Source organism: Homo sapiens, chromosome 9, assembly GCF_000001405.40.
Source record: "Homo sapiens chromosome 9, GRCh38.p14 Primary Assembly".
NCBI lineage: Eukaryota > Metazoa > Chordata > Mammalia > Primates > Hominidae > Homo > Homo sapiens.
Window position 1 is genome coordinate 74,799,594 of NC_000009.12, and position 21,404 is coordinate 74,820,997.

At 38.2% G+C, this 21,404-nt stretch overlaps 1 protein-coding gene and 2 pseudogenes across 3 annotated transcripts in view; 2 read left to right on the top strand and 1 right to left on the bottom strand.

The window, feature by feature from the left end:
- Window positions 1–21,404, bottom strand: part of TRPM6 (transient receptor potential cation channel subfamily M member 6) — a 165,427-nt gene that overhangs the window by 77,099 nt on the left and 66,924 nt on the right. For all 3 annotated transcript variants that reach the window (NM_017662.5, NM_001177310.2, NM_001177311.2), the window contains exons 9-17: window positions 20,711–20,834; window positions 17,299–17,371; window positions 17,076–17,176; window positions 12,706–12,840; window positions 11,222–11,275; window positions 8,441–8,581; window positions 4,201–4,293; window positions 2,305–2,582; window positions 661–889 (exon numbers count right to left, since the gene is read on the bottom strand). In NM_017662.5, coding sequence (NP_060132.3) covers window positions 661–889; window positions 2,305–2,582; window positions 4,201–4,293; window positions 8,441–8,581; window positions 11,222–11,275; window positions 12,706–12,840; window positions 17,076–17,176; window positions 17,299–17,371; window positions 20,711–20,834 — 1,228 coding nt within the window. The remainder of the gene's footprint in view (window positions 1–660; window positions 890–2,304; window positions 2,583–4,200; window positions 4,294–8,440; window positions 8,582–11,221; window positions 11,276–12,705; window positions 12,841–17,075; window positions 17,177–17,298; window positions 17,372–20,710; window positions 20,835–21,404) is intronic.
- On the top strand, window positions 302–548 carry RN7SKP47 (RN7SK pseudogene 47; annotated as a pseudogene).
- On the top strand, window positions 4,871–5,250 carry RPSAP75 (ribosomal protein SA pseudogene 75; annotated as a pseudogene).

A 21,404-nucleotide genomic window follows, 5' to 3' on the forward strand; every position in this document is an offset into this window, starting at 1 on the left:
AGTTATTAATTCTATTTAGTTTATTATCTGTTAGTATTCTTACACCGAGAAAAAAATTCAGTAAAAAGTCTCATTTACTTTTGTTGTAATTATTGGAGGCAATAGCAACTAGTAATAATGAAATCTTGCATGTTTGTCTATGCTTTTAATGTGTAAGCACCCTCACCTTTGTGGTGGACAGGGCAGGTAAAATTATACCCATTTTTCAAAAGGAAACTGTGGCCATGGGAGATAAAAGTCGTCTTCACAGATTCCTCTGGGAAGACCCCAGATCTTCTGTGAGAATCAAATATATTAACTAGGATGTGAGGGCGATCTGGCTGTGACATCTGTCACCCCATTGATCGCCAGGGTTGATTCAGCTGATCTGGCTGGCTAGGCAGGTGTCCCCTTCCTCCCTCACCACTCCATGTGCATCCCTCCCAAAGCTGCACGCTCTGTCGCTCAGTCGCAGAAGACGACCATCCCCGATAGAGGAAGACCAATCTTCTGTCAAGGGTATACGAGTAGCTGCAGTCCCCTGCTAGAACCTCCAAATGAGCTCTCAAATATATTAACTGGTTTTCCTGAAGACACAATTCTGGAACAAAATGTAACTCGAGTACAGAATTTTATACAAGACTAACATTAAACTCCATAAGACAAGTAAAGTAAATTTACCTTTAACCAAGAGTTTTTCCTCATTTTCAGCCTCCCCATCCACATGTCTGTCAGTAGCATCTGGGTACAAGTATGTGAAACAAAGGGTCGTAATCCTCCCGACACGGCCAGTTTAAGGCAGGTCGAATTGCTCCAGTTCCTGAGTTCATACGTCAACAGCGTCATGGCCATGCGCTCATTCTGCTTGAATGCCTTCTCCAACAAGTCCAGAGCCAGCTGGCCAAACTGTCTGCCATGAGGGTGGCCAATTAAGAAAACAAAGGCAGGTGAGAGAGCTGCATTATTAGAAACATTTTAGAACATTTAGAAACATTGTAAAAGATTGGATGTGAGGCTCAGAAAATATCAATTCATAAGGCTTCCTTTAAAAAAAAAAAAAAAGCCAACAACACCAAACAGCAACTTAATAATCTTAGTTTCCAGAAACTATTTGAAAGGAATTACAGCTCAGGAAAGGGATTTTTCTCCCTTTCCTGAAGGAACAGAACTAGGAGGTTTACATTGTAGCATACAGAATTTAATTTACACCTGAGCTATTCATAGGGAGTAGCCACTCCACACTATTGGACATAGCTTGGTTTGGGACTTATACATAGGCTTATACATAGCTTGGTTTGTTTGGGACTCCCTGATAAGACCTAATAAAGTGTGTTTTTTTTTTTTTTTTTGACAAAAAAAACTATTCAGAACCCAACTAGCAAGTAAGGAAAGCTGTGGAGTCACTTGTTTTTTTAAGATTTTATAAAATATCTACATGACTTAAGAAAGCTATAGACCTAGACCTAGAGACACCCCCATGTGATTTTCGAGGAGAATGTTTCCTCTGAAAGGTAGACATTGTCATGCTCTGGAATTTGTCTTTTTGGTAGAGACAGGGTCTTGCTGTGTTGCCCAGGCTGGTCTTGAACTCCTAGCCTCAATCAATCCTCCCACCTTGGTGTCCCAAAGTGCTGAGATTAAAGGTGTGAGCCACTGCACCAAGCCTGGGAATTTTTTTTTTTTTTTTTTTTTTTTTTTTTTTTATTGACGGAGTCTCACTCTGTCGCCAGGCTGGAGTGCAGTGGCACGATCTCAGTTCACTGCAACCTCTGCCTCCAGCCTGGGAATTTTTACATCAAAATTATAAATTAGTTTCCATTGATTCTAGCTTTCATTCTTTCTTCATTACTATAACACTTTAGTAACTTCAAAACCAAAAGCATTTTTAACTTCTATTTTCCACCATTACTCTCTGGCTCTTTAAGACAATGCATTTATTTGTTTTCCCACCTGAGAGATACTTAATGAAAACAATGTCTTAATTTAATTTAGCATCAAAGACTTCTAGAGTTAGGGGGAGCTTTCAAAATCATTAATTGAACATTTCATAGTTAGGAAACTAAAGCCCCGAAATCTGGTCAACTGACTTGTCTAATTAGTCAACAGCTGGACTAGAACCCAAGTCCCCTGACTTGAAGGTCACCTCTCTTTTCTTTACTTCACAAAGCTCCTTAGAATACCTGAAGACCCTTTTAACAGGAGAGTCCATAAAATGCATGGCGGTAAGTCCATTTGTCCTACAAGTTTAAAGATGAGAGAGATAAAAGTGTCTAACCATTCTAAGAAGTGTTGATGTTTAGTATGAAGTGAAGAGAGAACACTTACTTTGAGTAATTCTTCAACTCTTCTGAGGCATCATCCACCATGTGACTCTCCTTAGCTTCATGGGCCATTGCCCGGTAGAGGATACACGCAATCACGGCTTTAACCGTGGCCTCCTCTCCATGCTGCCAGAAGAACATAGCCATCTTCTGCCTTTTCATCAGCACAGCCCAAACCAGCAGGTCATTGTAAGGGTAAAGAAAGCCAGTAGACTCAGGGTCATCTGATACATTTTGTTCTTTTGACTTCTTCCTTGATTTATGAAGGACTATAGACTTTTCCTGTTGGAAAATAAAATAGGAATGAGTTTTCAAATACTCAGATGTATGATGTTTTACCTAATTCAACACAGCAGGTGTCCTAGAGATTTTTTTTAATCACTACTAAAAAAGAGATGGAAATAATAATAAGATTTTACAAGCCAGCAAGCAAAATTTAGACCATAAAAGGTAATCTACTTCTTGTTGCATTTAACAGATCCAGAGTCCCTGAACTGATATATCTTAAGGTCATTTAGCATAACTTAAAGCAGTGCCTCTTTAGGATATACCCAGAGTGCTTAATTGAATTTGAAAGATGGGTGGGTAGGGGGAGACATAACAATGCCTGAGAAATGGTTCCATCTTCCTCAAAGTAATAACCACAGAGCAGTACGATGAGTGCTGAAATAGAGACTACATGACAACTTTTAGTTTCTCAAGGAAATGGGTCGAAATAGCGTATTGGATACATGGGAGTGATGTATTTTTAAAAAGCTCTAACCTCACTTAGCAAATAGATTCATTATCTTCCCTTTGGGAAAACATCCCTAGTGTAGCCAACATGTATCCAAATAGATTGATTTGAAGTTTCTTTTCCTTTATTCTGATTATATTTATCAGCAAAGGTAACAGGTGATCATGAAATACCATTCTCCACCTGATAAATCCCCATTCATCATGCCATTCTACCTCCTCACATAATCCTGTATCATCACTTTGTGTGTCTTTATCTCTGGGCTCATCATACTGCACTACGGTTATGACTTTGAGGAAGATGAGACCATTTCTCGGACACAATTATATCCTCCCCTCCCCACCCACCTTCCAAGTTCAACCAAGCACTCAGTATAATGCCTGGCAAATACTAAAGATTCAATAATTACTCCTTTTAATTTGAGAGGTCTTAGCAAAAAATTATAATCCATTTCCTCTATTTCTATAAATAAAAGGAATTCATGTTCATTGATGATGACCAAGAGTAATTTTATAAAATACCTCTTTCATACCAGGAGCTATGGAAAGCAAACCTCTTTCAGCTAACATAATAACCATTTGCATGGAAATTCTTGAGCAAAAGCATTTATTCTCAGAGTAAAGTGGGACTGGAGGAGTATGAGACTAGGAGGAATAACAATGTTGTACACACACACACACACACACACTCATCATCATTGTCATACTGTAATATTAGATTCATAATAATTTCAAGAAAGCCTCAAAAAGGAAAAAATTTTTAAAAAAAGATGCAAAAAGTCAATGCGGCAGAGAAGTGAAGAAAAGAAGGAAACAGACTTCACATCCAACTGGCCTTAGGGAACAGCACATAAGAGTATGGTGTTGGGTTAATGATCACATTTTTTAAGTACCATCCCATAGATCACCTGACTGAGTCACTGTCTAGACACAGCAGGGATAGCAGCAAGGAAGAGAGGCTAAAGTGCAAGTCCAGAGAATCACTGTGCCTTTGCTCACTGTTGTTACTGGACAGCTGTGTTATGCTTTTGACTTGCACCATCTGTTTATGGCACTTATAAATGGTCCCTCTATTTGCACCTCCCTTTCTTTGATGTAAATGAAGAAACAGTCTCGAGCTGCAAAAAACATTTTCCTTTCAAGTTGAAAAACAAGTAAATGGTACCTTGAATTTGTATGGCTGTGCAGTTCTAATGAACTGGGAGTGCAGCGTACTTTCTGCAGACTCATTTCTATTTCCTGAGGAGTGTCTCTGGTGCTGGGAAAGGTTTTGAACAAAGCTGGTCACTCTCTGGCACGTTATTATTTTATTTTTAAAATAAAACAAAAGGAGGGGAGATTATAGTGGTAACAATATTTTATTTCTAGACAATAATGAAAACCAAATATAATGTTGTGTCCTACCAAATATCCATGCCTCTGTTTCTCTCCATGATTAGCACCCAACAAGAGCCTCTAATGATCTCATTGTGCATTTTGTTATTTCCTAACATCTTAGAGAACACACTCTTTTGTTCCCTATTATATATCTGCATACCTTCACTACGTGGAAATTCCATTAGAATGAATGGATGTTCTCTCCCTGGAACGAGTTCAAAATAGGCAATAAAGATTTACAGTTCTGATAAGAAAAAATTCCCATTCACAAGCAGTTCCAAGGTTAAGGTTAAGTCAGAAAGTTATGGAATTTCTCAGGTATTATATAATATCTCCACTGGAACTCCAGTGGCCAGGCCCAATAACAACACAACTCATTGCCATTAGCAGGAAGTTTTCATCAACAAGATACAAAAACAAAAAGAAGCATTCTTAAAGGGACTAACATAAAATATGATAAAAACCATAAGCTTGCCTGATCTCTATTTCTACAGAGATCCTGAAGAGATTGAAAAAGAAGAGCAGGCTGCTGCTGCAAACGCGGTGACCAAGGAGGAATTTCAGGGTGAATGGACTGCTTCAGCTCCTGAGTTCACTGCTACTCAGCCTGAGGTTACAAACTGGTCTGAAGGCATGAAGGTGTCCTCTGTGACTATTCAGCAGTTCCCTACTGAAGACTGGAGCTCTCAGCCTGCCATGGAAGACCGGTCTGCAGCTCCCACTGCTCAGGCCACTGAATGGGTAGAAGCAACCACTGAATGGTCTTAAGCTGCCCTTGCACGGGCTCGTAAGCAACATGGAAATAAGCTTAATGTAAAATAAACATCAGTTTCTAAAAAAAGAAAAGTCCGAAGCACAAAAAATCCCAAAATATGCACATAGCAAATGAATGATTATAAATATTTATGGAAAATAAAGTTTAAAGAGGGAGAACTTTTTAATAGAAAAATAATAAAAATTTTGTTTGAAATGTCATCTTAAACAATTAAAGACTAATTAAAATTAGTTTAATTTTACATTAGCTGTAACAAAGGTTAAATGATCATTGCAACTGAGCACAACTCCTTCAAATGAGCAAAGACTGAATCAAGTAATTTTTCTAACATAATTGGATAAAATCTCCAATCCTAATTTGTGGTTAACTTTAGAGGCAAAACCATAAACAGGATGCTTTTGGCATGAATGTTTCCATTTTTCCTAAGGCCTCTGTTAGTTTTTGATACTTAAGTCATTCTCCTAGGAAGAAATACAGATTCATTTTCACCTTGCTATTGATTTGGAAGATCATCCGCAAACCTATGCTCTGTAATGCAATTTCTTAAAAAGGAATGTCTTCACTTGTTGAGGGAGAACGTTTACCACTAGATAATCTGCCCACACTAAGAGCCCACAGGTTCAGTAAAGAGTGGCTCTGGCCGCTAATCCCAGAAATTACTCCCTCATTACTGAGGAAACTTATAAAGAAAATAGAAACAATTTTCAGACAATGCTACTCCAGAACCAAATGAGGAGGCCATAGAACTGAGATGTTGCTTAAGTAACATGTCTCAGAATGTGACAAATACGTGCTATCTGTGAATGTGAATTTTTCACATTTTCACCTGGACGAAAATTTGAAAGTTGAAGTTTAAGATCATTGGTGTCCTTAAAGCAAACTATACCTGGGTGACTGTGGCAGGGATGCCCAGGAGCCCCAGGCAGGCATTAGGGTGGTATAATGACTTGGGGATGAGGAGGAGGTGAGGAGAGCCCTAGTTGGTTTTTCTTAAGTATCGAAAAGACGACTGGAAAAAAAAAAGTGCCTGCCTATTTTGAGGTTGGAAGTCTTAATACAGAAAACACAAAGAGTCAAATGCAAGCAAGCAGTAGTTAGACCAGTTCAGAAAAGCTGGAACTGCTTAAATTGAAACCCTCACAGCTGAATCAGAAAGCATTGTGAATGTTGATTGGATATTTCATTATATTAAGGAATTATTCATTGATTATATTAAGGAATTATTCATTTTTTATGTATGATAATGGCATCATAATTACATTTTCCTAAGTACATTTCATTTAGAGATATTCACAAGAATTTATGAATGAAATGATATGATGTAAGATTTGATCTTAAATAATCTGGGGGCAGGAGGTTGGCCATTGTTGCTATTATTGAAACTGAGTGATAGGTACATGTGGATTCATTATACTATTCTCTATTTTTGTATGTTTAAAATTTTCCATTAAAAAATACAACTGAGAAAAAAAAACCATAGGCTTTTTAAAAATTTATTGTATTTATTTATTTATTTATTTATTTATTTAGAGACTGGATCTCACCGTGTTGCCCAGGCTGGTCTCGAATTCCTGGGCTCAAGCAATCCTCCTGCCTTGGCCTCCCAAAGTCTTGGGATTACAGGCGTGAGCCACCATGCCCAGCCCAAACTACAGGCTTTGAACTGCTTTATTTAAGTTTCTGTTTTGTTGATAAAAATTGAACATAGAAATGATGAGGTGAAGACTTTTTAAAGGCAACACCCAAATTATTATTACTATTGTAATATGAATTAATAGTGTCATTATAGTAATTATCATAATGACCATTATTACTAACGATGACTCTGCACCCTCTGTGTATCAGGAACATGGATTTTTCATATATTATTTAATCCTTCTGACAAATTTATAAAAGGGTCATTACTATTCCCATTTATAGATGAGAAAACATGCACAGAGAAGTTAAGCTTATTGTTCAAGATTACACAGCTACTAAAGAGCAAAATTGGAGGCAGTCCTAGCCAGATGTCTCTTGACTCCAAAATCATGTGCTTGTAACTACTACAGTCTAGTTTAATATGACACACAATAAACTCTGCACTCCACTGGAAGACAATCCAAGAAATGGGTGACTTCGTACTGGCAGGCCATTTAAAGAAAGGGCACTAAGGGAACTTCCCTAGCAAGCTCCACACTGGGCTGCACCAGCGCCACAGTCAGTCCTCCTACTTGTCACTGGGAACCTCACAGCAATGTCTGTTCTGTTTAAATGAAGTAGCTGATACCTCCTTAAGTGTATCCTTATGCCTTTGAAATCTTAATAGAGAACATTTTTCTGTGTCAGATTTGGCTTTCCTGTTTTGCTTTTTCATTTCTGAAAGCCAAGCTGGGCTTTCACGTCACTTGATTCTTTATAAAGGATCCCAAGTAGCTTGATATTCTAGGCTGTTTATGGAATCTTACCCCAAACTGCCTTTCCAGTCTCCTCCCTTAAAACCATATGACACTGATTCTCCAGCAACAAAGGTCTCCTTGTCACAGCAGAAACATACCTGAATATCCAAAGGCTGTGCCCTTTACTGCTCCTTCTCTTCTCTCAACAAAAATACCCAAAACTACATTTTCTAATCCTCCCCTCATCTTCTAATAAGAATGAGTCTCCTCAGGTTGCTAATCCATAATGGCAATTTCAAGAAATAGGCAATGTTTCCTCTGCTAACTACTAACCAACAACTCTAATTTTACATTCCTAGATTCTCAAAACTATCATGGAAAATAAAATATGTATCACTTATGTTTTTAAGGATATTCTACACGCATCTTTCAATATAATCACTACATGCTTATACCAAGTTTGTTATCTCCAGACTATGGACTAGGATGAGTTTACATATCTAATCTGATTAAGCTTTTGATATCAGTATTTTCGGAAGAAAAAAAGAAAAGAAAAAAAAAGAACTAGTCATCTCTCCCTCTAACCTGCCTCATCACATTATTTCTATGTCACTATAGCATGTATTATATACTGTTTTGTATTATGGCTAGTTACTCATAAATCTGTTTAAGAGTTTCTAAACTTCTGATCCTTACGCATCCCAAGCCAACACTGCAACACTTAGTACAGTATACTTCACATACAGCAGATAACAAATGTCCATAAATAAAATGACCATTTTAGGAGCTATTTTTGTCTGAACTTCCAAGGCCATTTTTCCAAAACAACAATTCCTAATCATTCTCAATTTTACTTGGGCACTTTTCAATTACTCTACCTTGTATTTTCTGTAGAGGTTGTTGTAGAGGGCTCTGAAATGTTTTCTAGTGTAGTTGCTGCGATATGCTCTACCAATGAGGTATTCTACTACTAATCCAATGTCAATCAAGGTTATTCGGTAGCCTGAAAGAAGGGTATGCTGCAACAAAAACATGCAACGACTTTTAACTTTTAGTTATCTTCTTTCATTTCTCTTGCCATGCCATTAGAACATAATCAAATTAATTGCAAGAAGGTAGACATACCTTTTAAATATCTTTACAAACTGATTAATTTAAGTGACCAGCCATTGATACAATCTGCTAGTTCAGAAGGAAAAATATCTTAGCCTTAATGTTTTCTCATTTCATAGACATTAAATGTGTGCTTCCATCTATGCGTGCTCTCTCTCTCTTACTCTTGCTCTCACTCTCCTTATCATGCACACAAACATATATACACACACGTTTGAGTAAAATACATTTAAATATTTTTTATTCCATATTGAGTTCCTAATTGGAAGAGAAAAATATTAAACAAGTAGAAAAACAAATAAATATGTATATAGAGAGTTTTTTAACTAGAAATAATATAGCTACTCCAACAGAAGTAAAATCTTAAAGTCTACACTGAATGTGTGTGATCCAAAATTAACATTGGGTTAGCTTTTCAGCTTCTCTCTTTGTTGAAATGGATATAACACTTTGCACTGCGTTGACTACATCATATGTAAAACAAGAATATGGGAGGAAGTAGAACAAATGAAAACAAGGAATATAGAATGACAAAGTCAAATTCAATACCAAAACATGAGGCTTATGCAGCCACGTTCTTCCTTGAATTGAACTTAATCCAGTATAGACAGTATAGTGTTTTCTATATTTCAGGGCATATTTGGGGGTCTTTGTGTCTATAATCCACTTTGCCTATGGTCCAAAATCCCACAGGATATATTACAAGGGTATTGAAGTTGTCAGCTTGCATGTCTGTCTTCCTTTACAGACTATGTGAAAGGGTCTGTCTTTGTCTACCCAGAGTTTAGCATATGCACTTGGCCAAGCTGAGTAACTATCTGAAACTCCATACAGGCATACCTTAGAGATATTGCGGGTTCAGTTCGAGACCACCACAATAAAGAGAATATTGCAATAAAGCAAAACAAACAAACAAAACCATGAGGCTGTGCCAAGACAAGTGTTATGATTGGTTGGCAGGAGGGCTGAGTGGTAGATTTCCAAGTATGTGGGTCTTAGTCTAAATGAAAATTATTTTGACTACTTAAATTGCACCTTACTACCTCTTCATAACTGTTCACTTTTAAACTGCCCATTTATAGTAAATTTTTAAAGGCACACAGAGTGTTGAACAAGGTCTCCGAAATGAAGATTGTGACTAATATTCACAAAGCTTGGAACAAGAAATAAGGTTATATATGAATGAATGTAAATAATTTAATTTTTCTTTTTCACATGCATAATTTACTTTTTTCAAGGAATGCCAAAAGTAATGCTCTTATTGCTGCTAGTTAGAACATATTTAACCTAGTTCATCACTTTTTTTCAGTTTACTGTGGCACAGTTTAAAAAAAATAAATAAAATCATTTTTATATTGCATAAATCAATACAAACTAAATTTACATGAGCACGGACACTTTTGCTTACTGCTAATTTGCCAAGGAATAGGTGGAGCACGATGGACCATGCCTGTAATCCCAGCACTTTGGGAGACCAAGGCGGGTGGATCACCTGCGGTCAGGAGTTCGAGACCAGCCTGGCCAACATGGTGAAACCCCACGTCTACCAAAAATACAGAAAAGTTGCCGGGTGTGGTGGCAGGCATCTGTAGTCCCAGCTATTCAGGAGGCTGAGGCAGGAGAATCACTTGAACCAAGAGGCGGAGGTTGCAGTGAGCCAAGATCCCATCATTGCACTCCAGCCTGGGCAAGAGCAAAACTCCATCTCAAAAAAAAAAAAAAAAAAAAAAAAAACAAGGATATGTCTTCCTTTCACTCTGGCTCTCTCTCCACGTCAACATAAACTGAAAGCTCACATTCCTTCTAACAAGATATCAGACTTTGGAAAAACAAGAGAATTTTAAAAATGTGCCTTGGATTTTAACCATAGTGACAAATAAATAAAAAGTACTCCCAATTTTCAGGGGATGTGGATAAAAGTCACTGGTAATGGAAAGAAAAGAAACTGAGGTATAAAAGTTTGTTAAAGTTGGAAGGCTTTGGTAACTAATGGGAAATCAAATACTTTAAGTTTGACCTAACTCACAGTTCAGTGAGAACACCATGAGCAAAACATGACCAAGAGTATAGAACAGGGAGGGGAACCACCTGACTGCCTAGAACAATGCAGACTCACAAAAGCAGCAAGAGAGTGCCAGAACTATCACTGATATCAAAAACAATGGAAATCACATATTAGTCCTCCAATAAGGATAACACAACCACAAAGTTATTTATTTCCAGCTGGTATCATCATCATAGGCACCACCACGGTATCGGGGTAAGCTGAAGTTCTGATTAGAAGCATTGCATGTCTCTGATTCATGGCTTTTTATTAGCAAATATCACCTAACTGATGGATCAAGTCTTTTAAAACATAAAGTAAATTAAGGAAAAAAGTGTACGAATGTGGTTTGTTGATGAACTTGTTCAAATCAAGGTAAAGAAGATAGGTAATTAACAAAACAATCCAAATCTGCATTTTACAAAGCAAAATTCAGTGACTCCTCCAACACAAAGCTAAGGCAATACACAAAGACATGTTCACGCCTTCTTAATTAGGTTACCTGTTTCACATCTTGGACGAGATGATGCAAGAGTGTATTAGTAGGTCCTTGTTTCTGAAATAAAGAACAAAAGGAAGAATTATTCTCTTTAATTACCATGTGCTGGGGGGTAAAACCTTTACTTCAGAATGCATAAGTAACTGAGAATACTGAAAATTGTGTTCAATATTTTTAGTAACAATGCTTAAGCCAATTAATTCTAAAGAAGGTGTTTTCCAAGAGAAGATGTATTTATATGAAATATTTTTCAAAGCAAGATGCAAATATGTAGATAATAAAGACTTTATGTGATAAGAGATAGAAATGAATCTTAGGTAATTTATTACTATCCTTTATCATACAATTACAAATCCTATCACACGAGCACATTCCAGCAACAAATATTTATTGAATACTTACTATATTCAATTAGGGATTCAATGACAAATATAAGCACTATTTTCCTGGAGTGTTTATAATAATAGAAAAGAGTGGCTACTTACACTAAAAAATAACCAACAATATGTGTGGGCTCAAAAAGAGTTACAAATAATTGGTACTCTAGGAACAAATCACTGTGAACTAACTGCAGTAATCAAGAAGACAAGACTTGAATAAATCATTGAAGAAAGAATAAGATTTAAAGGACAAGGAAGGCTATTTCAAGAAGTGTCCATGGCTTGAGCAATTGGTGTTTTCACAGTGTGTAAGTCAGGCTAGTTTCAACAAAGGGTTTACATGGGAAAGGTACAGGAACAGTATTTTAATAGTGGCCTTAGGTTGAGATACTTCCAATAACTCAATAAAAGGTAATTTGTTCTTATTCACAATTTAGTCTTTAACTATGTTTTACTAGGATAAAATAGAATTGGTAAGAATGTTTCTCCTTTGGTTGAAGAGTCTATCTATAAACTATCTTTGTACAAGAATATTCAAGGAGATAAATAAGTCTTAAGCTGATCAATAAATAATTACCAGGCAAGGTGTCAGACCCCTGGCAATGGAAAGTGACTGGCTTGCAGGTAGTAAGAATAATTTACTGACAACAGTATAGATTTTGAAAAAGGAACGTTTTATTAGAAGGAAAGAATGCTGGAGAAGAGTGCAGAAGGGAGCTTCAGCAAGAGAGAACTGAGCTCACAGCAGTGGATTTTCCTCAGGAGTATTTATGGACCTTAAAGTGGGAGCTTAAGGGTAATTTGAACCATGTTAGCCATGTAGGTCATGATAAATGATTGCATTTGTAGCCATTTTGGTGCCTTCATGTCAGGAAGGGTTGCACAATGAGTTTTAACATGTATGCATTTTGAAGATGTACAGAAATTCTAGTTACTTATAAATGTTGGGGAAAGAAGCCTGGAACTAGATCCAGCTTCAGATAATAGGGAAGTCCAGCTACTTCTAATTTCCTCAGATAAGGAGTTTTGCCTCTGCATGGTCTGCTTGATGATCCTTGCTCTTCTTGAATCTGGAGGGAAATGATTGATGAAATGTTCCATACTCACTGTATTGTAGAGCTCTTCCAGTCGAGGGATGGTAAGAAAGCGATGGAGGTTCACTCCATATTCTATTAAGAGCTTCACAAAATCCACCCGATCCATCACTAAAGCATCTGACATTGCTTGTTCCAGGGCATCAGGCTTCAGAAAGCACAAATAAGAAATATAAAGACAATTAAGAAAGTAGAAATAACTAAAGAATTACATGTTTTTGAACTCAAAATTACACAAACACAATAATTTTAAAATAAAATCCTGCCATCAGTGGGTACAGAAAAAAAAAAAAAAGGAAAAAATTTAAATACAGTCTTACTAGGCCAGGCTCAGTGGCGCACACCTGTAATCCTAGCACCCTTGGAGGCTGAGGCAGGTGGATTGCTTGAGTTTAGGTGTTCCAAACCAGCCTTGGCAACACAGCAAAACCCTGTCTCTACGAAAAATACAAAAATTAGCCAGGCATAGTGGCATGCACCTGTGGTCCCAGCTAATTGGGAGGCTGAGGTGGGAGGACCAATTGAGCCCAAGGGGTCAAGGCTGCAGTAAGCCATGAATGCATCACTACACTCCAGCCTGGGCAACAGGGCAAGACCCTGTCTTGAATGAATGAATGAATGAATAAATAGTCTTACTAAGAAATGTGCAGGACTTAAGTGAAGACATCTTGAATAAATCAAAGAACATCCCATGTACTTGGATGGGAAAACTGATTATTGTAAAGATCTCGAAGCTTCCCAAATGAATGAATGTACAGGCTTAATGCAATTCTGATAGACATTCAAGGTTTCTTCTTCTTCTTTTGTTTTTGTTACTTGTCATGTGTCCATTTAGACTCTACCTGGCTTCTAGGCACAAATGGCAAGTTGAACATGCTCATCTAATTTTTCTCCCACTCAAAACTTCATTAAAACTACAGTAAAGGGATTTTTGTTACAAAATAAATCTACAAGGACAAGGAGGACAAGAGTGGAGACAAGAATGCAACATTTTGGAAGCTGGAAAGCAGATGGTCAAGTCATAATTGACTGAGCAGTCACCAGAAAGCCAAATAGTAGAAGTGGAAAATGTCAAGAGACAAACAGATTTATACTACAGAATTCCAACAAAAACAAAATACATGTATACATGCTGAATCCCTAATGTTGGGGTCTTTCCAGTCATCTTTCCCCTTTGAGTCCCATAACACTAGCAACAAGGCTTACACCTTCCAGTCAGGGAACTAGAGGATTCTTTTCTGATAATGTCACCAATACAAGAGAAAAGACATGAATATGTTGGTATCTGGGGGCCCCTGAACTAATGGCAGTCAGATCACCCTACTGTGAAACTCAAACCTATAGGCAACCTCCAACTACAGGCTCGGAATTTCCAAAGAGTTTTTTATCCGCTACACTTAAACAAAAAGACCAAAACAAACAGATCAAAAAACATCAACTAGCAGGAAGCAGACAATCCAAGAAGAAGAAAACTTCAAAAGAGCTCTCATTCATATCCTCAAAAAGGTAAAAGAAGATATCGTATTCTGGGCCGGGCACAGGGGCTCACGCCTATAATCCCAGCACTTTGGGAGGCTGAGGCAGGCATATCACCTGTGGTCAGGAGTTCGAAACCAGCCTGGCCAACATGGTGAAACTCCATCTCTACTAAAAATACAAAAATTAGCCAGGTGTGGTGGCAGGAACCTGTAATCCCAGCTACTCGGGAAGCTGAGGCAGGAGAATTGCTTGAATCTGAGAGGTGGACATTGCAATAAGCCAAGATTGTACCACTGCACTCCAGCCTGGGCCACAGAGTGAGACTCCATCTCAAAGAAAAAGAAAATATTGGATTCTGGATGCTAATGAAAAACATAGGGGAGGGTGCAATCAGGGAGCAAGTTTGCTGTCACAAATTAATAGACTGCCAGGCATAGAAAGACAAATTTACATGTGCTCAATAATTCGTAGGAGCTGAAAATGAAAACAATTGAATCCATGGAGATGGAGAGCAGAAGGATGGTTACCAGAAGCTGGGAAGAGTACTGAGGGGGATAAGGGGGATAATTAATAGGTACCAAAAAATAGTTAGAAAGAATGAATAAGATCTAGTATTTGATAGCACAACAGAATGACTATAGTCAATAATAATTTAATTGTACATTTTAAAATAATTAAGTATTATAATTGGATTGTTTGTAACAAAGGACAAATGCTTGAGGGGATGGATACCTCATTTACTTTGATGTGATTATTACACATTGTATGCCTGTATCAAAATATCCCAGACACCCCATAAATATATACACCCACTGTGAGCACACAAAAATTAAAAACTAAAAAAAGAAGAAATTAATAGATTCATAGTATGCTACCAGAAAAGAAAAGCTTCATAGAAGGCTTGAAAATTAAAGTTGAGGCTCAGCCTATAATCCCAGCACTTTGGGAGGCTGAGGCAGGTGGATTGCTTGAGCCTAGGAGTTCGACCAGCCTAGCCAACATGGCAAACCCCTGTCTCTACTAAAAATACAAAAATTAGCCTGGTGTAGTGGCACACACCTGTGGTCCCAGCTACTCAGGAGGCTGAGGTGGGAGGATTGCTTGGTGTGGGAGGTGGAGGTTGAAGTGAGCCGAGATCATGCAACTGCACTCCAGTATAGGTGACAGAGTGAGACCCTATCTCAAAAATAAATAAATTAGTTAATTGATTATTAAAATTAAAATAAAAAAATAAAGTCCAGCAAAGCTACCAAAGGAAAGATAGGGAACATGGGAGGAAAGAGATAAGAATATTAGAGGAGCAGTCCATAAGGTCCAATATTCAAATAATAGGAATTACAAAAGAGAACAAAGGTTGGGGGTGTTACGGAAGAGAAGGGAATGGAATGCAATGAAAACATATGATTGCCAAGTTGAAATCATGTGCCCAACAAAATGGATACAGAGACTCACAACAACACACAGCATAACACTGGAAAAGAAAGATTTTTTTAACTTCCAGATAGGAAAAAAAAATGGTGACAAAGAATCTGAAAACAAAAAAGAAGTGTTTACTTCTCAATAGAAATTCTGGGTGCTGGAAACTAGGCATTCAAATTTCTGTAGGAAAAAATAGTTTAAATCATGAATTAAAATACACCCAAACATGTAAGTCCTCAAAATATGTATCTCTCATACTCCCTTTCTCAGGAACTTATTGACACATGTATACCATCAAAATGAATGAGTAAACAAAGAGGAAGACAAGGACATAGAAGACATGCCCTCTAACATGGGAAAGAGGCAAGGGAATCCCCAAGATGATGAGGGTGCATCCCGGGATGACAGCTGTGCACCAGGAGGAGAAGGAAACTGGTCCACATTGCAGCCGTGAGGCCCACAAGACAGAAGTGTTGAAAAATTTCTGAAACTAAATGAACCAAAATATAGCAATATGACATTATTTAGAAATATGGAGATTTATAAGTGTTAGAAAAATCAAAAACATCTTAAGTACTAGCTCTTGTGATTAGCAGGGCAGAGAACTACCATCTTTTAAAATTGCCTTTTAATATCATTTGATATTTTAAACAATGTGCATGTATTAGCTTGGCCCAAAAATAATATACCTGTAATACAGCCACAACTATAATCTTTTAAAATGAATGTTAATAGTGATTATCATTAGCATTATGGGTAATCTTTCTTCTTTTTTATGTTTTCACTAATTTCTAATGTGAGCACCTACTACATTTTAAAGCAAAAAGTAAACTTTGAGTTTTAAATAACAAGATAGAAATCTACCCAAAAATAAATTAAAAATTGTACGCCAGGCACAGTGGCTCACGCCTGTAATTCTGGCACTTTGGGAGACCAAGGTAGCAAGATCATTTGAGGCCAGGAGTTCAAGACCAGCCTGGGCAATATAACAAGTCGTTGTCTCAAATAATAAAATAAAATACAATTTCCAAAGAAATTAGTTGGGCATGGTGGCATGCGCCTGTGGTCCCAGCTACTCAGGAGGCTAATGGGGGAGGATTACCTGACCCCAGGAGTTAAAGGTTACAGTGAGCTATGATCATACCATTGCATGACATCCTGGGCAACAGAGTGAGAACTTGTGTCTAAAAATAAAATAACATAAATATATTAAAATAAAAACCTTCCATTCTGTCTTTCACTCAACTTCCCTTTTCAGCTTCAGGTAGATTGCAGAGCCAGGAAAAAAAAAAAAAAAAAAAAAAAACAGATGGTTTTCAGGAAGGCAAAGTCGATGGGAAAAGTGTCTTAGCTATCCCAGCTACAGAGATGCTACCCCACACTTCTACCAAACCAATCAATATCTCCTCTCATTTTCTCTTTTGCCCCTTCCTAACAGACCATCACACAAAATATTTTTTCCGAATAACTTCATTTTCACTATACCTTCCAGTGTTGTTCATAAATTAGGATATGTTTCTTGGCAATGTCCACCCTGTCCCAAGCCATTGCCAGATTTAATTGCTCTGACGCTGATAAATTTGTGCCTAGGGTAAAAGAAAGGAACAATCATATATTCTTTTCAAGATATCTACGCAAGAAGCACAAAGTACTGTGGAACATGAGAAGCGTAAATGAGGAACAATTGCAACCCCATCCAGATACTCACCCTTCAGCAAAGCTGTTAGGATTGCTAAGTCCAGGTCTTGCTGCTCTTCAGAGTCAGCATCAAATATGGTAATCTACAACAGTGAAAAACAGAGAGCCATACATTTGGGGAACTACCAAATAAATGCTTTCAAAGAGTACCCACAGAATTCAGACTGGAGCTAATGAATTGAGGAAAACATTCTTCTTTAAAACCTTTTTTTACTTACAGGAGAGAAAACTTTTAAATAGGGTAACAAAGAATTATGGGCACTTGGGGGGGAAAAAACTAAAAATTCCACATATCCAGAGGAAACATTTATGAAAGAATGTTATTACATGAATTTACTATGTACATGCTACAACAAAAAGAACCTCAATGTTAATTTCTGATGTAAATAAAATCATGTCTCCTTTCAAAGAGACAACGAATGAAATCCTTCATTCACCTAGCCTTGGAAACTAAGACTTTTGCTTTTTTTTCTCTTTTCTTAATTTTTTGTAGAGACAAGGTCTCACTATATTGCCCAAGCTGGTCTTGAATTTCCTGGGCTCAGGCGATCCTCCGGTCTCAGCCTCCCAAAGTGCTGGGATTACAGGCGAGTCACCACGCCCAGCCAGACTTGCTTTTTTACGAGAAATGAATCCTCAAGGGTTTGTCATAAAATAACTGAGGTAATTACAGTGGACCCAATGAGCAAGTACCCTGGGCAACACAGACGGTCTTTGACTCTTTTAAAGACAAGTAAGTTCGTTACTTATGGTTCCAAAGGGTCACCTATGGGCCCTTGAGGCACTTGCTCACCCGTTCCCACCCTGTGGGGTGTGCTTTCATTTTCAATAAATCTCTGCTTTTGTTGCTTCAAAAAAAGGGGGGGGGAGTCACCTGTTATTAATGGCTATATCTCAGTCTTTTTAAATTAAAATACATTTCATATAGTAGAAGGAGCTATTTTAATGAAAAAGCCAAGATTGGCAAGACCTAGTCCCAAGTATGCCACTAACAAGCTAGTCCTAGGTAAATATCTTGAGGCTGCTGCTGAATCTCAGGCTCCTCATCCATAAAATGAGAGGAACCTGTTGAATAATCTCTAAGGTATCATAAAGATAAAAAACTATGCTTCTATAACTTCACACATTGTTTCCTTTCACCTGACACGCCCTCTATGTGCACGAATAAAATCAGTCCTCAATTGTACAACCCAATTCCTATCACCTGCAAGCCCTTTGCTGCCTTCTCTTGACCCTCTTGGTCATTACATTGCTTATTAATTATTCTGCTTGATGGCAAGAAGAGGCAAACATAAGGGCAATCCCTTTACCTGTCCTTTTCTTAACTTACTGATTACTGTGGCAAATAGAAAGTGCAATAGACTAAGAAGATTTCAACTCTTCTGAAACTCACGTTTCAGATCTATCATTTCTTTTTTTTTTTTTTTTTTTTTTTTTTGAGACAGGGTTTTGCTCTTGTTGCCCAGGCTGGAGTGCAATGGTGCGATTTCGGCTCACCGCAACCTCTGCCTCCCGGGTTCAAGCGATTCTCCTGCCTAAGCCTCCCAAGTAGCTGGGATTATAGGCACCCGCCACTATGCCTGGCTAATTTTTGCATTTTTGGTAGAGACAGGGTTTCACCATGTTGGCCAGGCTGGTCTCAAACTCCTGATGTCAGGTGATCCACCCACTTCGGCCTCCCAAAGTGCTGGGATTATAGGCGTGAGCCAACGTGTCCGAGCATATCTGTCATTTCTTAACTGCATGACTGCAAATCCCTTAAATTCTCTAGCCTTCTGCTTCATCATTTCCAAACTGGAAATAACCACTGCCATACTGAACTCACTCACAGGGCTATTTCAAATGAAAAGAATACATTTAGAAGCATGCTGCTAATTAGAAACATGGTTGCTATTATTGTTGTTATTGGGCCAACTAAAACCCCAAAGAGTTTTCCACATAGATTTCGTCATGCTTCCTCTAGCCAGAACACTTCAGTTGGTTTTTTTTTTTGAGGCCAGGTACTCAAATATTACCAAAATTCTTATACAATTTGCTCCAGCCTTCAGATTCTAGAAAGATCACCTTGAATCATGACATATCTGTATATTTACTGTAATTGTCAGCTTCATATCATCTGAGTCATTGATATGAATTGATAATTCAGCCGGGCACAGTGGCTTATGCCTGCAATCCCAGAACTTTGGGAGGCCGAGACAGGCAGATCGCTTGAGGCCAGGAGTTCGAGACCAGCTTGGCCAACATGGTGAAACCCCATCTCTACCAAAAAATACAAAAATTAGCCAGGCATGGTGGCATGCACCTGTAGTCCAAGCTACTCAGGAGGCTGAAGCATGAGAATCACTTGAGCCTAGGAGGTGGAGGTTGCAGCGAGCCAAGATCTCGCCACTGCACTCCAGCCTAGGTGACAGAGTGAGGCCCTGTCTCAAAAAAAAAAAAAAGAATTGATAATTCATATCATCCAAGTCATTTTGTTCATAGGCTGGCCATGGTGGCTCATGCCTATAATCCCAGCACTTTAGGAGACCAAGGCAAGAGGATCACTTGAGCCCAGAAATTCAAGGCTGCAGTGAGCTATGACTGCACCACTGCATTCCAGCCTGGGCAAAAGAGCAAGACCTTGTCTTTACCAAATAAATTAATTAAATAAATTAATCTTTTTATCACAGTACCCTAAAACACTAAAAACTTTTCCTGAGTCTACATTATGGTAATAGCCCATAGTTTGTGGGCTCCATTTTTTATCCCAGAGTTTATTCTCACTTTTCCCATTGTCCAGTACATTCCCAATGATTTCCTGCAGGATTTACTCAGGACGCTGTGAGGCAGTCATGTAACTCAGCACCATGAAGCTGTGTTCATTGAAGACATGGAGCTGTTCCTTTACCCTCTGAAAATACTTCTGTGTAATTTTCACTAAATCTGATAACTTTTCTGGAACATTGTTATACTAAGTGCTTTTTCTGTAGTAGAGTCTAGTATTTGAAGCATGGAGAGTGCGGACAGCAGTGACAGCAAGAAGTCAAGTTTACTCAACGAAGAATCAAATTCTGTAGAGCTAGATACACTCAAAATCAAAATGAAAAATCCACATTTTTTATTTTTTATTATTTTAATTTTAAATAATTTTACTTTATTTTAAGTTCTGGGATACATGTGCAGGATGTGCAGGTTTGTTACACAGGTAAATGTGTGCCATGGTGGTTTGCTGCACCTATCAACCCATCACTTAGGTATTAAGATCTCCATGCATTAGCTATTTATCCTGATTTTCTCCCTCCCCCCTCCACCCTGACAGGCCCCTGTATGTTGTTCCCCTTCCTGTGTCCACCATGTTTTTTTTTAATTGTGAAAATAAATATTACAGTGTTTATAAATTAGCAGTTCTTAAGTCAGTTGAATCATCAACTCGTCATACTCACACAATCCCTGTGAACCATACACTCCATTAGAATTTGGAAAAGGTGCTTGGACTGTTTAAGACTAAAGTTGAAAGTGTTCTGAATCATGCAGATGATCTCCTCTTTCACCTGAGGTCGCAGCATCCTGGAAGAGAAATAAATGGTCTTGACACAACCCAGAGAGGGGAATGAGCCGGCAACATCAGTACAAGAAAACACCCCATCAGCTCCCCAGACTGAAAAGGTGTCTATGGACAGTTCTGCCAGAAGAGCAAATGAGGGGGAGCAAACGGAAGCAGGAGCTCAAGAAGAAAGCTGAATTTGAAAGTGGGAATGGAGCCGGGCATGATGGCTCACACCTGTAATCCCAGCACTTTGGGAGTCCCAGGTGGAGGATCACTTGAGGCCAGGAGTTCGAGGCCAGCCTGGGCAAAATAGCAAGACCCTGCCTCTATTTTTACATTTATAAAAGAAGAAAGAAAGTGAGAATGGGTTGATCTGCCACATCCTGAAAAGAATATACTCTGAAGTGGAGTTCTGAAGCTGGTAGATTTCCAGAGGGCTGGAAATCTCCAGAAATTATAGGTATTATATTCTCTAAAGGATCTGAAACCCTAAAAGGTTTAATAACCACACATCCAGGATGATTTTAGAAAAGGGAGAGGAGTGAAAGCAGAGGGAGATGGTAGAGGGCGGAAGTGGAGGCAGGAGAAAT